This window comes from Homo sapiens, chromosome X, assembly GCF_000001405.40.
Source record: "Homo sapiens chromosome X, GRCh38.p14 Primary Assembly".
Lineage (NCBI taxonomy): Eukaryota > Metazoa > Chordata > Mammalia > Primates > Hominidae > Homo > Homo sapiens.
In genome coordinates, this window is record NC_000023.11 from 74,257,242 (window position 1) to 74,282,400 (window position 25,159).

Below are 25,159 nucleotides of genomic sequence, written 5' to 3' on the forward strand. Positions count from 1 at the left end.
GGGATGGGCTGATTACAAAATAAGCCAATTGGCTTTGGGTTGCCTTGCAATGAAATGCATGGTAGAAGCACTACACCATCTTCTCCCATAGCATCTATACGGTCTTTTCATGAATTAAGCATTAAAATAGAAGCACAGCAAGGAGGTCTTAAGACACTAATCTGCCCTTTAGTAAAAGGGTTACAAAAGGTTTGTAAAGATTTCACCTCATGGTCAAATTGGTTAGGATTAGACGGGATAATCTATAAGGGTTCATGGAAACGAACTGGAATTAACATTAATAAACTAATGCAAGGGAAAAATTTTGCTTTGAACAAAATTTTCATATCATAGTAAAGGCTGATGAAAGGCTTTTGCCTTTTGAGTTATTTTTACAAAATAATTTATGGCAATCTGGAAATTGTCATTACTGCTGCCTGGCTTTCTGGATGGTTCAGAGGGCCCCTGAAATATTCAGAAAAGAGGTAAACAAGATCACTTGACATGTTTAGTCACATGAGATTGCCAAAATGATGTCCAATCTTCTTTATTGCTATAAAGTTATATTGTTGTAAGTTATATTTTGGTGAATAAATACTAATATGTTCCAAAATTGTATGAGATTTCTAAAATTCTAATGTCTAAGTATATGCTATCAATCATAATTAAGGGTAAAGTTATTGTAAACCACGAAGATAAGTAAACTTCTTTCTTAGTCATATATTTAACTGTAACTATCCTGGAAATTTGTCATTCGCAGACAATTGTTGTCTTCCTTTGTTCCTTCTCAAAAGACAGTTTATAATAAAGCTATATTAGGGACTTTAACAGGTGTTGTTAAATGCAGGTTTTTAATAGCCTTAAAGATTGTAACATTGAAATAAAGAATGTACAGGACTCAAAGAATTGACATGTTGACAAATACCAAGCAAAACAAAAGTTAACTAAGTGGACTACACTCAGAAAGTTAAAGCAACCTTTTTGACTGTTGCTTGGAATATTGCTAATCCTTGTTTTGATTTTCAGAGTCAAGGGAAGTTATTTTAAACTATTTATGGCCTTTAATGATTGAGTAAGGTATACCCCTGTGAACAAAATTTGGAGCATGTTTACTTTTCTCTGCCTGGTTCCCCTAGAATTTGGAAACTATCTGTGAGTACTCTTAATTTATGGCAATATAGTTGTTTGCATCAGTGCAATACGAATCCATTTTTCTTTGTCAACAGGACACAATTGGAAAAACTGGTTATTTTACCAAGGCTTTGACTGAAAGGGTGTGTTTCCCTTTAAGGAATCAAGCTTGACATGCAAAGCCAATAAAAGCCCCTTGTGGAGAACTGGCCTCATACCTTGTCTGCACAGTCCCCACACAGGGTTCCTAACCTGTGGTCAGTAAAGAATGTCACTTTCTAACAGGTATAGAAGCTCAGAGTTTATCTTGGGAACTCAAGAGGAGAGGATCACCCAACTCACAGGTATTAAAGGATACAACCCATGGCTGGGCTCGGCTTTAAGTCTTATCTGAAATTCCTTGTGGAACAGAGTTTCATCAAAGCCAATCCAAAAGGCCTATGTAAAAATAACCATTCTTGCTGCACTTTATGCAAATAATCAGGCCAAGTATAAGACTAAAGTTTATTCATAGTTTTTACCAAAAATGAGGACTGGAGAGAAAAATTTTGCCCCAAAGCTTATCATAAATTTGTCATTAAAGCCTACTCTCATTAATTGTTTTTAAGCTTTTTGCCTATGTTTTAGACTAACCTTGCTTATTCCTGTGAATCACGTGGTGATCTTCTGCAGCTTGGAATAAAAGAATAGGGATGGGTAAGGTAAAAATGTGAATCAATATGCTAGTTCTGGGCAATTATCTTGCAAATTCTGCCAGATAATTAAAGTAAGTGCCCATAACCTGGAGGTTTCTGTTTGGGAAAATAAAACCAGGGAACTTCATAGACCCCCAAAGGGGAATTCTAATATCTTGGCAAGTAAAATTTTAGATGGAAATTACCTGCCACACCACATTTGTGGGAACTGCTGTCCTCACCCTACTATTTGCAATAGCGTTACACATGGTACCACCTTCTAACTGAAATATTGGACAGAGAGTTTCCATTGCTGTAGTATTTTGCTTAATTATTATCCTTATAGCAAGGATAATAGTTGACAAAAAGGAAGCATGAAAGTTTTACTATCACTGAGTCTGCTAGGACTTTTTATTAGGTTTAGTAATGTAGTTTTAAATGAAACATGCTGCTTTTGGATTAACAACTCTAGTAAAGTAGAGGAAAATCTACGCGTACTTAGAAATCAAATCAAAATTATTGACAGGCTCAGGGAAAATGCCAGCTTCAGCCCGAGTGGCTACAATCCCTCTTTAATAAATTCCAGTCTTCTTTATGGAATTGGTTAACCCCTTTATTAAGCACTCTCTTGCTTATCTGTCTTGTATTGATATTTGGACCCTGTATACTCAATATTATAACTCAAATTGTTTCTTCTCGCCTAGAAGCAATCAAACTTCAAATGGTGCTGTAAACTGAACCACACGCCATTCTTCCGAGGATCCTTAGATCGACCCCAGAAGGAGCCTTAGCTGCTGTTCCCCATTCGATGCCCCTTTTCAGCAGGAAGTAGCCAGAAAGAGTCATCGCCCCAAACCCCCTAACAGCAGTTAGTGTGGCATCTCCACAGGGGGGAATGTTGTAGGAAAAGGGGTCCTTGGGAAGTTTTTGTTTGTTAAAGCACCTCTGGAAAAGTTTCTTGCAAAGCCCTGGCTCTCAGAGCCAGGCCAGCAACCATTGATATGCAAATGCAGGCCATTAGAAACTGGGCCCACCCAAACATGGAGATGCCCCGGGCCTTCTTGCCCTTTCCCCACAGGTTCCTGGCAACATGGCCACCCCCACATATCCCCACGTGTGTAGACCATCATGGCACCCTACATTTGCATATTAAAAGGCTAGAGTGGGAGGGCCAGCTTTTTCCATGGGCCATGTGAATGAAATGCCTAATCAAACCAATCCCCTGAGCCCTATGCAAATCAAACACCGCCTCCTCCAGCCTCTGCATATATACCTGGCTGGTATGGTTAGCAGGTAGGGACCTCCTCTTTCGGCTTTGTATCCCCCCTCCCTCTGCCTCTGTATAGGGGGAGCTTCTTCCTTCTGTCTTCTCCCTTCCTTCTTGCCTATTAAACTCTCAGCTCCTTAAAACCAAAAACAACAACAACAAAAAAACAGGAACTCATACTTTTCAATTACAAATAGTGCATGCAATCCACCTACTTGGATGACTACAAGAAGTTTAGAATCTTTCCGTGGCCCATCGTAGCTAACTGCATAGACTTGACCTCCAGCAACCATGCCTCAGGACCAAGATAAAGCATATGCTGCTATCTCTAAAATGACAAAGTTGGCTGGGTGCGGTGGCTCAGACCTCTAACCCCAGCACTTTGGGAGGCTCAGGCGGGTGATCTGTTTTAGCCCAGGAGTTTGAGACCAGCCTAGTTTGAGATCGGCCTGTGATACATGGCAGAAACCCCGTCTCTACAAAAAAAAATCCAAAAAATTAGCCAGGCATGGTGGTACATGTCTGTAGTCCTGGCTACTCAGAAGACTGAGGTGGGAGAATTACTTGAGACTGAAAAGTTGAGGATAGTGAGCCATGATCATGCCACTGCACTCCAGCCTGAGTGATAGAGAGAGACCCTATCTCAAAAAATTAAGAAATTAAAAAAAATAAATAAACTGACAAAGTTCGTTATCTAGGTACAGTTAAAAAATGAGGGAGGTTCTCCTAACAAAACTATAGTAACTGATTATTATCATATTATCTTCTCTAACACCTCCAAATGCATATTCCTCCTCATGCCCGCTTTGGAACCATGCTATCAGTATTTTTGTTAGGCTTTTTTCCATGGGTATGAACCATATTTCAGAGTCCTGAGAGTATTCACTGCACCTTCTATGACTAAAATTACATTTGGTAAGGAAACAATTAGTCAACTGTGCAAAGATAAATTATAAGGACAATCAGCACAGCTGACATAAGAAGATGAATAATCTTCAATGTGCCAGTTTATTAATTTACTACAATATACCCATCAATGTAACCAGAATACTTGTTTCCATATAAAGCATACATTCTTTTCCTATAGCCAAATTATAATCATAAAATTGCTTAATTAAGCACAGAATCAAAACAGGTGTCATAATTAGATAAAATATATGCTCAATAATATCAAAGAAGTCTAGCATTTAAAAATCTATACAAAGGCCAGGTGCGGTGGCTCACGCCTGTAATCCTAGCACTTTGGGAGGCCGGGGCAGGCAGATCATTTGAGGCCAGGCATTTGAGACCAGCCTGGCCAACATGAAGAAACCCCATCTCTACTAAAAAATACAAAAATTAGCTGGGTGTGGTGGCACAAACCTGTAATCCCAGCTACTCAGGAGGCTGAGGCATGAGAATAGCTTGAACCTGAGAGGCAGGGTTTGTAATGAGCCGAGATCTTGCCACTGCACTCCAGCCTGGGTGACAGACTGAGACTCTGTCTCAAAAAAATAAAAGTAATAAAAGTCTATACACCAAAAGTTTCATAGTTTTAGTTGAGTGACAAGATTATAGCTTATCTTGACTATATTTATTTCTTTATGTGTTATCTGAATTATTTATTAGTATCTCTTTACCTTTTTTTTTTTTTTGAGACAGGGTCTTGCTCTATCACCCAAGTTGGGGTGCAGTGACGCGATCATAGCTCATTGCAGTCTTCAACTCCTGGGCTCAGCAATACTCCTGCCTCCGCCTCCTGGGCTTGTGAAAGTGGCAGGTAAATTTCTAAAACGGTCTCATGACATTACTTCAGACTATAGCATCTGGCTGACATTCTAACACTGCTGCTTCAGTAAGAGTTGGAATAGTATAAACAGAAGCATCTTCAGAAACGTATATATAAGATGAAGGGCACATGTGCTTAGCGGCCAAGATGTAGAAATGCAATATGAACACATCTGAATCAAGTGGTGGCCACACTCACATTCCCATCTAAGGTAAACTGTTCCACCTATAGTTCTGGAGAACATAGTTCTGGGAAGCAGTCCTAGACAGCAATGATTTTTAGAATACGATCTGCCTTGTAGTCCAAAGCAGAAAGTATCAGGTGTGGGGGACACTTTCCAAGTGCCATTATATATCATTAAAAGATTCAAAAAGTGACTCCCAAGCAGGGCAGAGTTATGCCACTGAAATTCTTACACTAAGGAATAAAGTCTATGAAATGCAAAATAAATAGAATCTGTGAAATGCAAGAAAGCTGGAAAACATGAAATAAATACCTTTGGGCACTATCTCATACACTGGGGCAACAAGCAACATTTAATTATGAATAGCTGAAAATTGAAGGGGAAGCAGAATGCAGACTAAGCTAGGAGGTAAAGTAAAGGTTGAGTCAACAATGAGGAAGGCACTGAACAAACACACAGAGGAATTAAAAAATGTTAAAGGTGGTATACTAGGATGGATGACACAAACTCTTGCGCTGACATTCCCAGATCTGTCTTGGAACTAATTTCCAAACTCAGGAAACTGAATTAAAATTTTTCTTTAAATTTTAATTGTCTTTACTCAAATTCCTTACTTGAATTCTTATGAGATCCCTGTCCATCTTAGAGGCTGACCAAGCCCAGCCATGGGTGGTCCAAATTGCTTAGGTGGTCCCAATTGCTTGGCTGGCCCAAGAGATGTCTGGTTCTTAACAATACAAGAGCCTATAGAAATTGCTAAAGGGATTTCAGCCACAACTGAAGCTCACCAAGAATGAGTTTTCTGGAACTGGTTAAAGTGTCACAGTAGGGAGTAAGGAAATAAGAATCCCCACCAAACATAAGAGAACAGAATGATAATAGTCCCTACTAGTCCATGACAAGGCTGCCAATTAGGCATTTAAAGCTATCAAAGATGATGCTGTGAGGGACCTGGCAACTTTTGTAATAGTCTGACTTTAAATGTTTTATTAATGGCCAAGCAGCAAATATTTTAGGATTTGTAGGCTATATGGTCTCTGTCCCAATTACTCCATTCTGCTACTGTAGCATAAAAGCAGCGATACATGACACACATAAGAATGAGTATGAGGCCGGGTGCGGTGGCTCATGCCTGTAATCCCAGCACTTTGGAAGGCCAAGGCAGGTGGATCACCTGAGGTCAGGAGTTCGAGACCAGCCTGACCGACATGGAGAAACCCTGTCTCTACTAAAAATACAAAATTAGCCGGGCGTGGTGGCGCATGCCTCTAATCCCAGCTACTTGGGAGGCTGAGGCAGGAGAATCACTTGAACCCGGGAGGCGGAGGTTGCGGTGAGCCAAGATCACACCATTGCACTCCAGCATGGCCAACAAGAGCAAAACTCCGTCTCAAAATAAAAAAAAAAATGAATGAATGTGACTGTGTTCCAATAAAACTTTATTTATGGACACTGACACTTGAATTTCTTGTAATTTTGATGTAATTAAGTTTTATAATTCTGATTTTTTTTCAACAATTAAAAAATGTAAACAACAGTCTTTGCTCACAGACTGTATAAAAACAAGCGGTTGGCCAGATTTGGCTCTTGGGCCAGTTTGCTGGACCCTGATATAGAGAACTGGGAGGCTGCATCAAAGATAGTCCTTTAACTTACTTTTGTTTGAAGATGCTGTATTTTAATATTCTCAAGGATATTCTGATGTCCCCAAGGATATTCAGTGTAAACTGCCTACTTAGTGAAATATTGTTGCTCTATTTTTCTTACCATTTTATCCACTTTAAGTATATACAGTTCAGTAGTATTAAGTATATTCACATTTTTGTGCAACCAATCTCCAGAACTTTTTCATCTTGCAAAACTGAAACTCTATTCCCATTAAACAATGACCCTTTTCCCCCTCCCCCGGCCCCTGGCAACAACCCTGACACACCCTGGCAACTACTTTCTGTTTCTATTAATTTGGCTCATGCTTCAGGCTACCCCATACCATCATTCTGGGACACAAGAACTAGACAGCAATTTGTGTTACTATCTAGACTGGCAGGGGTGAATACATTAGAGATTCCATACATGAAAATTGTAATATGTTAAGGGGCTCTAGTTTAAAAATATGTAAATAGCCAGGCGTGGTGGCTCACCCCTATAATCCCAGCACTTTGGGAGGCCAAGGCAGGCGGATCACTTGACCAGCCTGGCCAACATGGTGAAACCTCCCATCTATACAAAAATACAAAAATTAGCCAGGCATGATGTCGGGTGCCTGTAATCCCAGCTACTCAGGAGGCTGAGGCAGGAGAATCGCTTGAACCCAGGAGGCGGAGGTTGTAGTGAGCCGAGATCGTGCCACTGCACTCCAGCTTGGGCGACAGAGCAAGACTCTGTCTCAAAAAAAAAAAAATTATGTAAATAATATTAAATTTAAGTAATATATAAATATGAAGAAATGCCTGTCTGCCTGGCGGCCGCATAATAAAATACACCTGTCACATCAGTCATGGTGTCTGACAACACACCCTCAGCCTTCTAAGAAAAACAGAATTGCACAAAATTCTTAATACATAGCCATAGAAAATAATGTTTTATTTCATATGGCACCAAATCAAAGGACAACCATAGGTTAAGCCATAATCTTATGACAGAATCTGAAGTGAGAAGCTCTAGTCAAAAAACAGTAATCTGAACCAAGGAGACTGTTTGGCTCCCAGAAATTTGAATTGCAGAACAAAGAATCACATAAATATCAGCAAAAACTGAAGCTGAAAGATTTCCCAAAATAAAAAATAAAGGCATGAGGGATGCATAAGCATGTTCAGTTGTCATAATAATTGGATTGGGGTCACCACTGACACTTAGTGGAAAGCAGTCAGGGATATAAGATATTCTGCAATGTAGCAGCCAGTCCCTCAAAGCAAAAAATTGAAATATACCATCAGACTCATTACAAATTCAAATTAGTACTTTGGTACATAAGAATGAAAACTTTAACATGAAGTGATACAAAAGCTCAGTAATTCAGGATGTTGTTAGGAAAATGAAGTTCAAAACAGAATAGGTGGCAAGGCACAGTGGCTCACGCCTGTAATCCCAGCACTTTGGGAGGCTGAGGCAGGCGGATCACTTGAGGTCAGGAGTTGGAGACCAGCCTGGCCAACATGGTGAAACCCCATCTCTACTAAAAATACAAAAATTAGCTGGGCATGGTGGTGTGTGCCTGTAATCCTAGCTATTCGGGAGGCTGAGGCAAGAGAATCGCTTGAACCCGGGAGGCAGAGGTTGCAGTGAGCCAAGATTGTGCCACTCCATTCCAGCTGCATGCAGCTAGACTCCGTCTCAAAACAAACAAACAAGAAGCCCAGAATAGGTGCATGGGCTTAAGATTTCATTACTGTGCCAAATTACAAATCTAGTTGAAAAATTGAGTCTAATACCAGTTACTGCTTACTGTTAAGCTGACAAATTTAGTTACAAATAAGAGACACTTGTTCAGGGAAGGTAGAAAACTGATGAGGTTCTTAAAAGCTTCCTTGACTCCCTTACTATGCTGAGGGGATTGGCCACCCAAATTCTCTAATTAGATTCTTGTGAAATACAAGATTGCCAATTGTCTTATGTATAGCTTCACAACCTCTTCCTCGTACGTGATTCTTTTTTTTTTTTTTTTTTTTTTTTTGGAGACAGGGTCTCGCTCTGTTGCTCAGGCTTCAGTGCAGTGGCACTATCATGGTTCACTGCAACCTCCACCTCCCAGGCTCGAGCTATCCTCCTACGTCAGCCTGGGACTACAGGTACCAGCCACCATGCCCAGCTAATGCTTTTTAAAATTTTTAGTACAGGCAGGGTCTTACTATGTTGCCCAGGCTGGTCTCAAACTCTTGGGCTCAAGTGATCCACCCACCTTGACCTCCTGAAGTGCTGGGATTATAGGTAGGAACCACCGCACCTGGCCTGATTGTTTTCTTTTTTTTTTTTTTTTTTTTTTTTTTTCATTTTTTTTTTATAAATAGAGACAGGGTCTCACTATGATGCCCAGGCTGGTCTTGAACTGCTGAGCTCAAACGATCCTCCCGCCTTGGCACCCAAAGTGCTAGGACTACAGGCATGAACCACCGCCATGCCCAGCTAATTTTTTTTTTTTTTAATTTTTAGTAGAGACGAGGTCTTGCTATGTGGCCCTGGCTGGTCTCGAACTCCAGAGCTCAAATGATCCACCCACCTTGGCCTCCCAAAGTGCTGGGATTACAGAAATGAGCCACCACACCTGGCCTGATTATTTTTAAATGGCAGCAAGAACAGGGTTGGACAGCAAGGGCAAATCACACAGTATGTGGCATATTCAGAATTGGTTGTGAGTTTCCAGTAGAAAGCACTGAGAATATCCATAGGGCAAAATGGAATACTAATAATCCTCATTTGCCTTTGCCTTTGTACTGGAAACCAGACCTTACTTAAGCCCACCAAAGGCAAGGTTTGGGCCTGCCACAGCGGATTTCAAAAAGACAAAGCAATGCAAGCCACGTGTTCAAAATGCCCTAAGTGGCTATTCAGGTAATATATAAAAGTAAGACCAGGCTAATTAGTATACAATGGGGTAAACCAGAGAGCAGAAAGCCCTTCTTTAAAATGAGCCTACCACTGCTTGGCCTCAGTGTGAATTTAGACCCCATCTTCTGATATTTCAGGAGAAAGTAAAAATCTAGATTTTTATCTAAAATCTTTTTAATTTTTAAACAGTCACCTGATTTTAACGAAATACTATGTGTGCACAATGGAACTGTCTACGGGAATGATCTAGTCCAGAGGATACCAGGTTCCTCACAATGTCTTATAAAGTTGTTTAACCCATAGTAAGAAATATTATACAATTATACCGGACCAAAAACATACATACATACAAATATGTAGCTGGGACAAAAATTTCACAGAACAATACAGTCATCCCTCGGTATCCATGGAAGACTGGTTCCAGGAATCCCTACAGATTCTAAAATCCATGGATATACACGTTCCTTATATAAAATGGTATATTTACATATAACCTACATATATCTTCCCGTCCCTTTAAATCATCTCTAGATTACTTATAATAACGAATACAATGTAAACACCACATAAATATATTGTATTTTTTAAAATTTGTATTATTTTGCATTGTTGTATTTTTTTCCAAATATTTTTTATCAGTGGTGGTGGAACCCACAGATAGGGAACCTATGGATACAGAGCACCTCCTGGTGATGCCTGATGATGCCCTTTGCCAGATGAAGGCTGGTATTTTCTTTGCCAGATGAAGGCTGATATTTTCTTATTTTCTTATCTGTATTCTATCTTAATCTATTCTTTCCTAATCTATTTCATTTTAATATCCACAACTGCATTCAAAACTGTGGCCCAGTTTTAAACACTGCACAAGGGAAACTGCCAAGCCACTGGCTGAGTTGAAGAGGTAATGGTACATAACCATGTTTTGTACCACATGAGAAAAAGGAAACATTACAAATAAGCCAAAACTATAAAGAAACAGAAGCTATGAGGTTATAAAAGCATTTATAAGCATATTCTGTTGGCCTGAAACATTTTAAAACAATTGAAGCTGCCCTCCCAACCCCATTGGTTCCAGGATCCACCACAGATATTCATGACCTTTATAGAAAATGTTCTAGTAATTGCATACAACCTATACACATCCTATCATATACGTTAAATCATATCTAAATTAAAAAAAAAAAAACCTGAAGCCAATCAGGCTTTTTGTAGACAACTGGTAATCTTAGGCAGACATTTCCACTAGGCAACAATCAGCAGAAGTACTAAAGTCTTCCCTTTTGGAGGAAATATGTATGTCCCAATTACACACAATGTCAAACACTCCCTACTATCCTCCTAGTAGCGTCAGTTGCCCTTTACCATCCCATTTGCACCCTTGTTTATATTTTAAAGAAATCGCTCTTCTAATGTCTCTATCAAAAATGACTGAACAAAAGATCACCCCCCTCACACACACAAGACAGTGTTTCAAGAAAAGAAGAAAACACCAGAACCATCTTATACATTTATGGCATCTGGATCCTACAGGCATTTGCAATTGCAGTCCTTGAAACAAAGAGAGAGAAGTCCAACAGTCAGTTGTTAATGGATACTTTATAAGCTAAGCTATAAGAAACAAGCAAAGTAAAAGCAGCAAAACAGGGTAATCATCATATTAATGGCAGAAAACAAAAGTGAAGATCCACAAACTGTTGCTGTGGGTATATAAATATCTTAACTAAACTGGGATACAACAGGCCTAGTAAATTTGTCTTTTCAGGAATTGGAATCGAGCTATTAAAAGTAATCACAGTTCGCAAAGGAAACTGAAGCTGAAAGGATACACAGCAAGCCAACACAATGCAGAGGTGAGGTCAAGAGGGTCATAAGCAAGCAAAACTTATGAGGAAGATGAAGCCATAAGTAAGCAGAACCTATAAATAGGCTAAAAATATGAGATGGAGGGCTGGGCGCAATGGCTCATGCTTGTAATCTCAGCACTTTGGGAGGCCGAGGCGGGAGGATGACCTGATGTCAGGAGTTCGAGACCAGGCTGGCCAATTTGGTGAAACCCCATCTCTACTAAAAATACAAAAATTAGCCAGGCATGGTGGCTGGTGCCTGTAATCCCAGGTATTCGAGGTTGAGGCAGGAGAATCACTTGAACCCAGGAGGCAGAGGTTGCAGTGAGCTGAGATCTTACCACTGCACTCTAGCCTGGGTAACAGAGCGAGACTCCGTCTCAAAAAAAAAAAAAAAGAGAGATGGAGAAAAAACAAAGTGGATGGGCGAGCCAATATTTAAAAAGCAGAAATTATAAGACACCAAAGATAAGCAGAGAGGCCGGGTACAGTGGCTCACACCTATAATCCCAGTACTTTGGGAGGCTGAGGCAGGCGGATCACCTGAGGTCAGGAGTTCAAGACAGGGAGAAACCCCGTCTCTACTAAAAATACAAAATTAGCCAGGCGTGGTGGCGGGTGCCCGTAATCCCAGCTGCTTGAGAGGCTGAAGCAGGAGAATCGCTTGAACCCAGGAGGCAGAGGTTGTGGTGAGGCGAGATTGTGCCATTGCACTCCAGCCTGGGCAACAAGAGCAAAACTCCATCTCAAAGAAAAAAAAAAAGATACGCAGAGAGACAAAGTAGCTCAGTTAAATAAATGGCGCAATGCTAATGGAAAGATGTACAAGCTCTGGCTGCTGAGTTTTCTAGAGCTTCTCTGAATCCAGTTCCCATCCCTAACAGGCATAATCACATTAAGGTCCCCCTAAACAGGTGTCCCTTGGTATCCACAGAGGAACTGGTTCCAGAATCCCCCGCAGATATTCAAATCTTTTATATAAAATATTCTAGTAAATGCATACAGCCTATACACATCCTCTCATATACTTTAAATCATCTCTAGATTACTTATAATACCTAATACGATATAAATGCTATGTAAATAGTGGTTATACTCTATTGTTTGGGGAATAACAACTAAAAAAAGTCTGTATATGTTCAGTACAGACACAACCATCCATATTTTTTAGCCAAATATTTTTGATCCACAGATGGCTGAATCCACAGATGTGAAACACACAGACACAAAAGATCACCTGTATGTGAAACTGCATGTGATCCAAGTCACCATTATTTCCCCACAGGTGGCCTGCAAATAACCTGTCATTATGTGAGCTCAACAGAGAATCTGTTTCTAGCAATCACAAGTGCCTAACCAATAGTAAGAAGCAGAACAGCCCCCTAAGAGGAATGCAGTTTAGGAAGCTGGCTACGAACCTGAAGAGAATCCTCTTTGTTTTGATGATGTTGTGCAAACCAGCTTGTGATATCATGGAACTTTTAGAACTTTTACCCAGGGGAAGGTGAGTCTTTAAGAGACTTGGTAGATGCTGCAATCAAGCAGCTTTAAAGAGCTAAACCAGATAGAGTGAATGTGTCATAGTGTTACCCACACCCAAAATCTTTCTAAAGAAAAACTTCCTTAGCCAGGCAAACAAGCCTGCTAAGAAAGCATTCTTATGACCAACTACCCCTCCTCCAAATCCAAAGTTGATCAGACCAAGGGAAAGTAAAGCTCAGACTCAAAGGCATATGTCTACACGCTGATCAACAGCCTATGACTTGTAACATGAAAGCCCTCCCCAAACAAGGATGACGTGAGAAAATTAGATTAAATTTGCAATTGGGAAAAACAGAAGAACAGAAACTCAGCTGAAGTGAATGGATACATGGTAAAAGAACATACCACAGCTACGTAAGAAGCATGAAAGATTTAAATAAGATCAACTTGTGAGGAATAGGCACAGGAGTCAGAAGCTATAAATAAGCAAAAACTGGCCAGGCATGGTGGCTCATGCCTGTAATCTTAGCACTTTGGGAGGTTAAGGCAGGAAGATCACTTGAGGCCAGGAGTTCAATAATAACCTGGGCAACACAGCGTGACCCTGTCTCTATTAGTTAAAAAATAAATAAATAAATAAATAAATAAGCAGAAACTATCCATTAGCAATGGGATAAAGAATAGAAATGAGGAAGTGAGTATGTAGCAAGAAGGGAGTTCATAGCAGTAATGTAAACTACTACATTCCTAGTAATTTACCAAATTAATTAAATAAAGACATTCCTAATAAACTTAGCTAAGTTGTCAAGTCAGAATACTATATTATGGGCCAGGCATGGTGGCTCATGCTTATAGTCCCAGCACTTTGGGAGGCTGAGGCAGGCAGATCGCTTTGAGCTCAGGAGTTTGAGAACAGCCTGGGTAACATAGTGAAACCCTATCTCTACAAAAAATACAAAAATGAGCTGGGCATGGTAGCACACGCCTGTATTCCCAGCTACTTGGGAGGCTGAGGTGAGAGAATCACTTGAGCCGGGAGGCGGAGGTTGCAGTGAGCCAAGATTGCACCACGGCACTCCAGCCTGGGCAACAGAGCAAGACCCTGTTTCCAAAAAAAAAAAAAAAGAGAGAGAGAATACTATATTATGATCTGGTGTAAGGGAAAAGGGAAAGAATACTGAGTGATGAGAACCAATAATGCCTATAACCAGTAACAAACAAAAAGTATCTGTGACCTCACAAAGGGTTGCTTAGAAAATTATAATCTCCAAACTATAGATCAGAATGTAGATCTGATACAACCTAACAGGCATATAAAATAGCATCAGGATATAAGGAGAGTAAGGTTGCAGAGTTAACTGTGAAACTGTCAAGTTCCAAAGATGGTTCAGGTACTTCTGGATGCTACATGACTGGGTTGCATTCTAGTTTTAGAGCTTGATTCTGGATACACTTATAGTAGCTGGATTGTGTTAGGCTAAAGCAATTTTGCATCATAAATAGGGAAAGAGATACATTTGCACATAGTAATCAGTAGGGGGAAATGTCCTAGACCTGCCAAATAGCAACTACTATCCCTGCGGTCTCAGGAAACTTAACCCACAGGGAATCAGATTCTCAGTTTAATGACAACTTGGCAACATGGAGAGTAGCAAGAGCTAAAGTCGATAGTCTGTAGAGAGAAAGATAATGTAGAAGGAAGGTCACACCTATAGTAGTTGCAAAAGCTCAAGTTATGAATGAGAAAAAAAATCTAAGTATTCAGTAACCAGGAGGTTAGAGGAAGACAGAGTATGAGGAAACCAAACTGTAGTAGGACCAACATGATACACATAAGGAGAGAAGAGCTTAATTACATTAATGATACCACACTAGAGTTGAATTCCATAAACTTCCTTAAAATGATCCAAATCACCCCATTTCTTGCAATGAACTCTGGATTGCAAGGAAGAGACCCTCAAAAGGAATGCAGCTATTTGGAATTGGTTATATTGAAGCAACAGGGTAGACAGCCAAGCAAAGTACATAATAGTGGTAACATGCAAAGCATCTTAATTTAGCTATCGCCTGTGCTCTCGGAAACTTAAAATTGTGAAATATGGAAACAGGTAATCAGTAGCAAAGATGAGAGGTGAAGAAGGTATTCTAAGAAGTTACAAGGGAAAATCAGAGGCATAACTATGAGAAAGCCCACTATGACGAAGCAGAAACTAGGTGAGCAGAAGTTGTAAGAGTACAGTGTCATAAAGCAGGTATTGGCAAACTACCGCCAATAAACCAAATCCAGCCCACTACCTTTTTCTGTAACTAGTTTTGTTGGAACACAGCCATACTCACTCATTTATGTATTGTCTATGACTGCTTTCATGCTACAAGAGCAGAAACCATATGGCCCACAAAACCTAAAATATTTACCACTGGGCTTTTTATAGAAAAAGTTTGCTAACTCCCCTCATAGAAGATAGCATAAGCCAATGGCAGGAAAACTGAAACAGGCTGAGAGAATATTTAAGTCATGTTAAAAGCAGAGCACTGGAGAAAAGATTTTTAAAGTCCTGCTGTTGAGAGCTCCACAAGTACCCTTACTACAACCCCCCAAACCCTGAATGTGCTGAACATTTAGAAAAATCAGTTACATACCACACACCAAAAAGGTTCCCAATGGGAAAGATTTGTATTTAAAAAAATAATAAAAAGTATAAAGGAATTATGAACTATAAAAAATATATTTATCTTCCTATTATAAAATGCAAGTGGAGAATAAACCATAAAGAAAAAGATATTTGAGCTACATACAAATTAATAATTTATAGGCCAAACTGGGGGAAATATCTGCAACATATGATAGACTAAAACTAAGTGTGAAAAATAAACTCAAAAATAAGACCCAAGATTTTTATCTGTTCTATCTTGTTAGGAATCAAAGAAATACAAATTAAAATATCAAAGGCCATTTTTTACCTTTACAATTGGCAAATTCTTCTGAAACCTTAACATAGTGTACTGGTGAAAAAGTTAAAAAAAAAAAACGGGCATTCTTATACACTAATAGAAGGACCATATATTTTATCCAACCTCAGGAAATAAAACACACATATGTACAAAAATTTATCTATAGAGTTATTCACTGTAGCACTATTTACACACAATTAAAAGAGCAGTAATTAAAACAAGGTTCCAAATATCAGATACAAGTTAAATTTTTACATTCATGCAGTGGTGTATTATGTGCCAATTTTTAAAAGATGTTATTAAAGTATATTTAATGGCATGGGATATATTTGAGATTGGTTCAGTTTAAAACAATAGGCAACAAAAGATTTCATTAATGACCCTAACATCAACAATTGAAAAAGACTGCCATCCCCCGCAAAACAACTCACTTTTGAACACAGAAAAAGGCCGGGCATGGTAGCCCACCCTGTAATCCCAACACTTTGGAAGGCTAAGGTGGGCAAATAGCTTGAGCCCAGGAGTTTGAGAACAGCCTAGGCAACATGGAGAAACCCCGTCTCTACGAAAAATACAAAAATTATCTGGGTGTGGTGGTGCACACCTATGGTCCCAGCTACTCAGGAGGCTGAGAGGTAGGAGGATCCCTTGAGCCTGGGAGGTCAAGGCTGCAGTGAGCCATGATAGCACCACCACACTCCAGCCTGGACAACAGAGTGAGACCCTGTCTCAAAAAAAATAAATAAATAAAGGAAAAAAATAATAAATAAAATAGAAAATAAAATTTGAAATATCAAATTTAGCAAATATAATTCAAAATTCTTGAAAACTATGAATCTGGCCGGGCGTGGTGGCTCATGCCTGTAATCCCAACACTTTGGGAGGCTGAGGTGGGCAGATCACGAGGTCAGGAGTTCGAGACTAGCCTGGCCAGCATGGTGAAACCCCGTCTCTACTAAAAAAAATACAAAAAATTAGCTGGGCATGGCGATGCACACCTGTAATCCCAGCCACTCGGGAGGCTGAGGCTGGAGAATTGCTTGAACCCAGGAGGCAGAGGCTGCAGTGACCTGAGATTGCACCACTACACTCCAGCCTGGGCGACAGAGCGAGACTACATCTCAAAAAAAAAAAAAGAAGACTCCGTCTCAAAAAAGTACGAATCTTCTTCCAGAAATGCAAAGTTGGTTCATTATTAGGAAAGCTATTAAACATAACAAATACAACAAACGATCAAAGAAGAATATTTACTTTCATATTCAACAATTGCTTACCTGAGATACCTGTTCCTTTGTCCAGATCACCTTTTGAGATATCAGTGGAAGAATTAATACTTCATAATCCTGAAAGCCAAATTTAGGGTTTGAAATAGCACAGCCCACTATCTTGCCTGTTAAGATAATGATTATATCCAAAATAACCTCTGTATTAGATTCACTTATGAGGTAAGTAGGGTAGAAGACACGTTGGTGAAAAAGGTAAGCACACCAGAGCTGATAATGTAAAGTTAAGAACAAATAACACAATATAAAGACAACATCACTTCTAAGCCATACAAAGAAAGACCCACGACAAGGAAGAGATTCCTCTAAGGGATGGTAATAACATGGCCCGTGAAGAATATTCATGGTATTCGTATGAATATTCTGCAATTCATGCACGTAAGACACAGATCACAAGAGACTTTTCAGTGCTGACTCAAATACAGCTGTATTATTTTTATTATATTATACACACTGTGAATCAAATAACTCTGAATGGTTGTTTTATTGTATACATCTTTGTTTGAAAGTCTTTGTGTATGTATACTGTAGAGCAGGGGTCAGCATGCTATGGCCCCTGGGCCAAATCCAACCTACTACCTGTTTTTGTAAATCAGGTTTTATCAGAACATAATCATGCTCATTTGTATCCATATTGTCTATGGATGTTTTCATGCTACAACAGCAGAGTTGAATAGAGAGACTACCTAGCCCTTTACAGAAAAAGTTTGCCAACCCGTGCCATAGTGTCCCTTAATGGAACAGCTGGCAAAACCTAGACCTAGCAGAATGAATGAAATGTTCATTCATAGTAATTTACCAAATTAATTAAGGCTATTCGTAATAAACTGAGCTAAGTTGCCTAGTCAGAATACTGTATTATGATCTGGTGTAAGGGAAAGAACACTGAGTGATCAGAACCAATGATGAAGCAGTAACAACAAAAAGTATGTGTGACCCCCCACCTCAGCCTCCCAAGTAGCTGGGACTACATGAGACTACAGCCATGCACCACCACACCCAGCTAATTTTTATTTTTTGGCAGAGATGAGATCTCACTACGTTGCCCAGACTGATCTCAAACTCCTGTGCTCAAGCTCAAGCGATCCTCCCACCTCAGCCTCTCAAAGTGTTGGGATTACAGGCACGAGCCACCACATCCGACCTCCATCTCCACTCTTTGAGTCTATGTGACTTTATTCATTGTATGAGTCAGGCAGCTACTCTGAATGGAAGGAAAAGAATTATTATTTCACAGGAAAGAACAAATATGGTTACCCTTATATACAAAGGATCAGAGCACAGAGGTATTGAGAGCAGATGAAAAAACAAAGACATTTCAGAGCACAAAAGATAATCGACCAAATGACAGGCCATTGCTGTACATACTTACTTAGCTGTGAGCACCAGAGTAGAGTGAATCAGAGGAAAGTAAAGAAGGGGTACCCATTCAATACTGCTTCTTGGGTCTAGCTAGTTTTAATGGTGCTAATGTATACAGTGAATGCTAATAAACTTGGTTCTGAAATCAGAAATTTCTCTAAAGAAAATAATCAAAGAAGTACACTAAAATTAACATTTAAAATGAATATTTAGATAATAATAAATTTTAAAACCTGTAGGGAGGGCACAGTGGCTCATGCTTGTAATCCCACCACTTTGGGAGGCCGAGGTGGGCGAATCATGAGGTCAGGAGTTCGAGACCAGCCCAGTGAACATGGTGAAACCCCGTCTCTACTAAAAATACAAAAAATTAGCTGAGTGTAATGGCGGTCGCCTGTAGTCCCAGCTACTCAGGAGGCTGAGGCAGGAGAATCGCTTGAACCCAAGAGGCGGAGGTTGCAGTGAGCCGAGATCGCACCACTGCACTCCAGCTCAGGCAACAGAGTGAGACTCCATCTCAAAAAAAAAAAAAAAAGTTTGTGTAAAGAGAAAAATGGCTGAATAAAATAAGACTAAAAATAGCATATGACTGCGTTCTGGGATTATGAGTAATTTTTATTTCCCTTTTAATACTACCTTTTGGTGGTTTCCAATTTTTAAACTTTTTTTTGTTGTTGTTGATTTTGAAACAGAGTTTCCCTCTGTCACCCAGACTGGAGTGTAATGGCACGATCTCAGCTCCCAGGCTCAAGTGATTCTCCTACTTCAGCCTCCTGAGTAGCTGCAATTACAGGCATGAGCCACCCTGTTCCACTAATTTTTGTATTTTTAGTAGAGACAGGGTTTCATCACGTTGGCCAGGCTGCTCTCGAACTCCTGACCTCCCGCCTCAGCCTCCCAAAGTGCTGGGATTAGAGGCGTGAGCCATCAGGCCTGGCCAACAACAAACTCTTTACATGCATAAACATAATAAATATGTTAAAAAAGAGAGGAGAGAAACCTACTGTGTGTACCCCATGCTCTAGATAAATGCCATACAGCTACAACAAAAAGACTTTAAATTGGGGATAACCCAGCTGCCTGGGTTATCAAAAGATTTTAAGTTGGGGAGGGTAATGCAGTCTCGAAGGCTAGCCTACCAAAGAAAAGAGAAAGGGAATTAGAAATAGGACATGCCTATGACAAAGAGGAAGATGGACAAAGTGATCATGGAAGGAGAACAGAAAGAAGAGTAAGAGGAGGGTTCAGATAAAAAAAATCTTCCTTATTCAACAGGATTAAGAAAGGAGACCAGAGCTGGGCATGGTAGCTTACACCTGTAATCCCAGCACTTTGGGAGGCGAAGGCAGGTGGATTGCTTGAGTCCAGAAGTTTGAGACCAGCCTGGGCAACATGGGAAAACCCCGTCTCTACAAAAAAATACAAAAAATTAGCTGGGCATGGTGGCGCTTGCTTGCAGTCCCAACTACTCGGGAAGTTGAGGTGAGAGGATCACCTGAGCACGGGAAGTTGAGGCTGCAATGAGCAGTGACCTAATCACTGTACTCCAGCCTGAGTCACTGTCTCACAAAAAAAAAAAAAAAAAGAGAGACCAAAGATTGTTCCATAAAATGAAATGCTTTCTAGGGACTATATAAGGCACTTGGTTTTGGCCTTCCTCATCTTGGTGAATGTCTCTTTCCAGTTACCAAGACTTCCAGTGCCTAGTTTAGGAATGCTTTGCCATGGATCAGGAGAGAAATTAAAACCCCATCATCCTTGGCCTGTCCCGAGAAGAAAACTGACCTTTGTACTCAGAATGGAGGCTCTGGGAGCTTAGGGTGGGGCTGACACACTACGCATAACCATTTTTCACTTTACTTGTGAACCATTTCAACGATCCACATAGCCCCATAAGAGGCAAGGCTGTTAAAGGGGAGTGCAATCAAGAAGGCCTTCTACTCTTTGAAATTCTCCAAGTGCCATACATTTGGCTGTCTTAAAACAATGAGCCATCCTTGCTTTTACAGGGTCCTTTTATGGCTCATTTCTCTGTGGGAGGCCATTGTGTCTGCCATATTATAAGACCCTGATATAGAAACAATGGGCACGGTGGTGCATCCTGTAGTCCTAGCTACTTGGGAGGCTGAGGAGGGAGGATTATTTGAGTCTGGGAGGTTGAGGCTGCAGTGAGCTGTGATCGCACCATTGCACTCCAGCCTGGGAGATAGAGCAAGACCCTGTCTCAAAAACAAGAAACAAAAAAACACAAAAAAAACCCAACTCCTTCTTCTCAGCAATTTATCCTTATCTGAGGCCAGCCACATACCCACTTTCTAAGAACTTTCTTGCTGTCTTAATCTTTTCAAGGCAGGTGACAGCTTTACATAGTAAATAGGTCTTCATACTCAAAGAGACTAGGTCAGGAGCCACCTTTTTTTTTTTTTTTTTTTGCTTCTTTTAATAGCTAGTGATTTTGAGATGATGGGGTTTCTGGGAGGCATTGGGAACCTTTAAGAATTCTGTTAACTTTTAGAACTTTAATACCAGATGGGATCAGATAAATAAATAGTTGTAGGTAGAAGAATTCCCAGAGTAGGTGTATTAGTGTTAGGTGCAGGATAAACTATGGTGCCCTTCCAGTAACAGGACATCTGGATGTGATCGTTTCTTTTTTTTTTTGAGACGGAGTGTCACTCTGTCACCAGGCTGGAGTGCAGTGGCGTGATCTCAGCTCACTGCAACCTCCGTCTCCCAGGTTCATCTGATTCTCCTGCCTCAGCCTCCCATAGCTGGAACTACAGGCGCCTGCTATCACGCCTGGCTAATTTTTGTATTTTTAGTACAGACGGGGTTTCACCATGTTGGCCAGGATGGTCTCGATCTCTTGACCTCGTGATCCACCCGCCTCGGCCTCCCCAGGTGCTGGGATTACAGGCGTGAGCACCACCGTGCCCAGTTAATTTTTTATTTTTTTGTGGAGACAGGGTCTTGCTATGTTACCCAGGCTGGTCTCAAACTCCTGGGCTCACACAATCCTCCCATCTCGGCCTCCCAAGGTGCTGGGATAATGTAGGAGCCACCACACCTGCCCAGAGAAGAAGGGTTTTAAGCCAGAAGAGTATTATCAATCCACTTCTAAACTGTCAAGTGGGATTACAGAAGGGATGATCATTGCTATGTACATCAACCATGATATGCCAGGGCAGAGTGAAGAAGGATATGTAGGGATAGGTGATCAGAACTGGTTTCTGATTCCTGATTCCAGTGAGCATTTCACTTTGTACCCACCAATTAAGTCTTTCCTAAAGAATTCAAGGACTTTTTCCCCCAGCTCAGGTATTACACTTTGCTATTCTATGCTTACTAAAGGCCAAATTCCGAGATTTAAAAAAGAAAAAAAAAAACTTCAAGATCACTTAAATAGAAAATGCAAGGGGCAGGCATGAGGGCTCATGCCTATAATCCTAACACTTTGGGAGGCGGAGGTGGAAGAATTGCTTGAGCCCAAGAGTTCAAGACCAGTCTGGGCAACATAGTGAGTGAGATGCTATCTCTTTAAAAAAAAAAAAAAAAGAGAGAGAGAGAAAGAAAGAGAAAGAAAGAAAAGAAAATGCAGTCATGAATTATGTTCTTAAGTCCCAGTTCTGCCACTGATTACAATGTGACCTAAAGTTACTTAAGCTTTCCAAGACTCATCTTTGAGATGGAGGTAGTAATAACACAAAACTAACTCTTTCAGTTTTTTGTAAAAATTCAACGAGACAGGGTACATAAAGCACACAGTAGGTACTCAATGAATGGCATCAAATTATTAAAAAGCTAAATGTCATGTATTTCCTCAATAGAGAACTACAGAAAATTAATCTTCTAAGGGGGCTTACTCCCCAGAAAGGTCAAGACATCTGCAGAAATATGCAAAAAAGCCAGAGAGGGGAAGTATACTAAAATAAGGATGAAGTCTTAATTAGAGAACATAAGTTGTAACTTTTTGGATACTCATGAATGGCTCAAGTTTAAAAGTTACCCCTGAAAAGAAGGAAAAAATGGGGGAACCATACATATAGGATAAATGAGTTGACTACAGTGAGGCATATAAAACATAGCTCCTTCTGTATATGTAGCCCAATTTGTGAATGTGCTTTCTGAGTGAGCTTAATTTGAGTGGGAAGAAATTCAGAAGCAAGCTGATTACTATGAGATTCCATACATTCTAGGATCAACTGTAAATGCAAGTCCCATTGAAAGGAAAATGGGGAGAGGAGGATTTGTGGATATAGTACATTTATTTAACCTATGCCAGGAATTGGCAAACTTTCTGTGAAGGGCCAGACAGTAATATTTCAAACTCTATGGTCCATTTGGTTTCTCTCCCAACTACTCAACTCTGCTGTAGCATGAAAGCTGCCATCGACAATAATGGATGAACACAACTGTGTTTCAACAAAACATTTACAAAAGCAGGAGCTTATGTCACCTATATTTCAGTTCTTCTGATCTTCTGCAGGAGTGATCCCAGACTGGGTGAGCATATAATCTACATGAATTGTTTTAAGAAGGATATATTATAGAATAAGTTGCAAGCTTTGAAAATGCTGGCCTGTCACTTATGCTCTGGAAATGGCATCTCTAAGAGCCTCCCTGACAAGAATCAGGGCAAAGTAAGCCTCTCTTTCCCTACTTACCTTAATCACTATGTTACCTTAATCACTGAGAGGACCCTCCTTCTTTTGCTGCATGGTCACTCACATGGATGATCTGGTGGACTCTAAAATACTTTTCAAATATCCTTCACAATCCAGCCTAGTGAGAAGTTACAAAAAGAGAAAAGAGTGTTTGCATCATCTATGACCTTCCTGACACTCAGCTTGGTCAGCCTCCATTGCATTGAGCAACTGTGGCAGGTATTAAAAGGGAGAATGGGAAAAAGGGAGAAAAACACAAGATGTTGCTTAGTTTAACCTAACCATTTTTAAGTGCAATTTTTTACATTATAATGGGAAAAAACAATTGATATAACACTTATGATACATTATACATTTACTGGTTACTTATCCCTTTGTCTAACTTCACAAGAATGAAAGTTCCATGGTAAGACTTTGTTAATATCTGCAACAGTCTCTGGCACTTAGTAAGTACTTAATAAGCTAGAAAGCTAGAAAGGGCCAGATCACGACCAGTTTCCCTTCTCTTTTCTACCACCAACTGGGGAACCCCACCAAAGCCACTGACAACTTACCAAGGCTTCCCAACTGCCTCACAAGGACATTCATGGCAACCGTAATTCATCCTCGCCCTCTGATGAACTTGCTGGGCAGGAAGCATCAGTATGAGTAACAGGCAGATCTTAATGTTGCTCTTGACCAATGACAAGTTTTCTGGCCATCCAGGAATCTGCATGTTTAACAAGCACCCCAGGTGATTTTATGCATAACAAAACTTCACACTATGGAAATTTCCAACATCAGAGGAGTAAAATCTCAGGAGCTATTACAGAATCTTTTAGTGTGAAATGAGTCCAAGGTGTGTGGATCACTTGAGCCCAGGTGTTCAAGAACAGCCTGGGCAACATAGTTTAAGACCCCCATCTCTAATTTAAAAAAAAGAAAAAGAAAAAAAAATCTTTTACTGTGAAATAAAAACATTTTTGTCTCACATGGCTTCCTTGGATTTGATAGAACCTAGATGAAGCACTGAGTAGAAGACACAGTACTGGCTTGGACTCAAATCCATTTTCTATGCCAACTAGCTATAATCTTGGGCAATTTGTGCCATCTACTGTGGTCTCATATAATCTTGGGCAATTTCTAATTCCCCCATCTATAAAAATGGGAGAATAGGGAAAAAAGAGGTTAGACTCTTTATTCTGTAGTACAGCCTGAATATTTTAAGACTTTTTTTTCATATCATAATGTGAAAATATCCAGTAATTGCTTAGTGCCTATTAAGCACTCTTACCCTACCCCATCCCACTAACTGGGCAAGCCCACCAAAGCCACTGGCCACTTACCAAGACTTCACAATGGTTTGATAACTAGGTGCAGGATGCTGATTTGAGCCTCTCCCAATTCTCTAATAACCTCACTGGAGGTTAACCAGGCAGGGCTCAATATACCTCTTCAGCAGTAGCATAGTTTCTGATTGAGTGTGGCATCACCTATAGGACAGGGAGAAGAAAAGAAACAAACGTAAGATGGAACAGTCAAGGTTTGAGATCCAGCTTTAATTTTATTTTTATACCTTAGTCAAGTTATCCAGCCAGCCACACCATGGATCTCAGATTTTACTCTTGCTAAGCATTCACACTTAGCATCACAATTATATTTTCTGGCAAAGGCAGTTGCAAGGTCTACAATTGTTAGTAAGGATTCCTGCCCTTATTTTAAACGAGAGAACCTGGGTACAGAGGTACCAATGACTACACCAAAGTGTTAGTACCCAGATGTGAACTCCAGTGCTTATCTTCATAGTTTCCTTCAAGTTCTTCCCCTCTTTAGACTTCAATATCGCTTTGAATAAGTGGGCAAACTTGACCCCTTAGTGGCCCTTCTGTGTCTGGTAGTTAATGAACCTACATTCTTTAGTCCTGATCAAAACAGCCTGCAAAAGGTGAATGAAACCTTCATCTAGTCATCAGATGGCATCTGGTTTTCACACTGATAGGAAAAGGTTACAAAACTCTGGGCTCTTGGACCAAGACCCTATCATT

The 25,159-nt window shown here is 40.2% G+C and overlaps 1 long non-coding RNA gene across 1 annotated transcript in view; it reads right to left on the bottom strand.

Annotated features, from left to right (window-relative positions):
- Positions 1–25,159, bottom strand: part of FTX (FTX transcript, XIST regulator) — a 265,439-nt gene that overhangs the window by 229,106 nt on the left and 11,174 nt on the right. The window contains exons 2-5 of the long non-coding RNA NR_028379.1: positions 24,461–24,607; positions 23,690–23,844; positions 23,153–23,253; positions 17,101–17,169 (exon numbers count right to left, since the gene is read on the bottom strand). This is a non-coding gene — a long non-coding RNA (FTX transcript, XIST regulator). The remainder of the gene's footprint in view (positions 1–17,100; positions 17,170–23,152; positions 23,254–23,689; positions 23,845–24,460; positions 24,608–25,159) is intronic.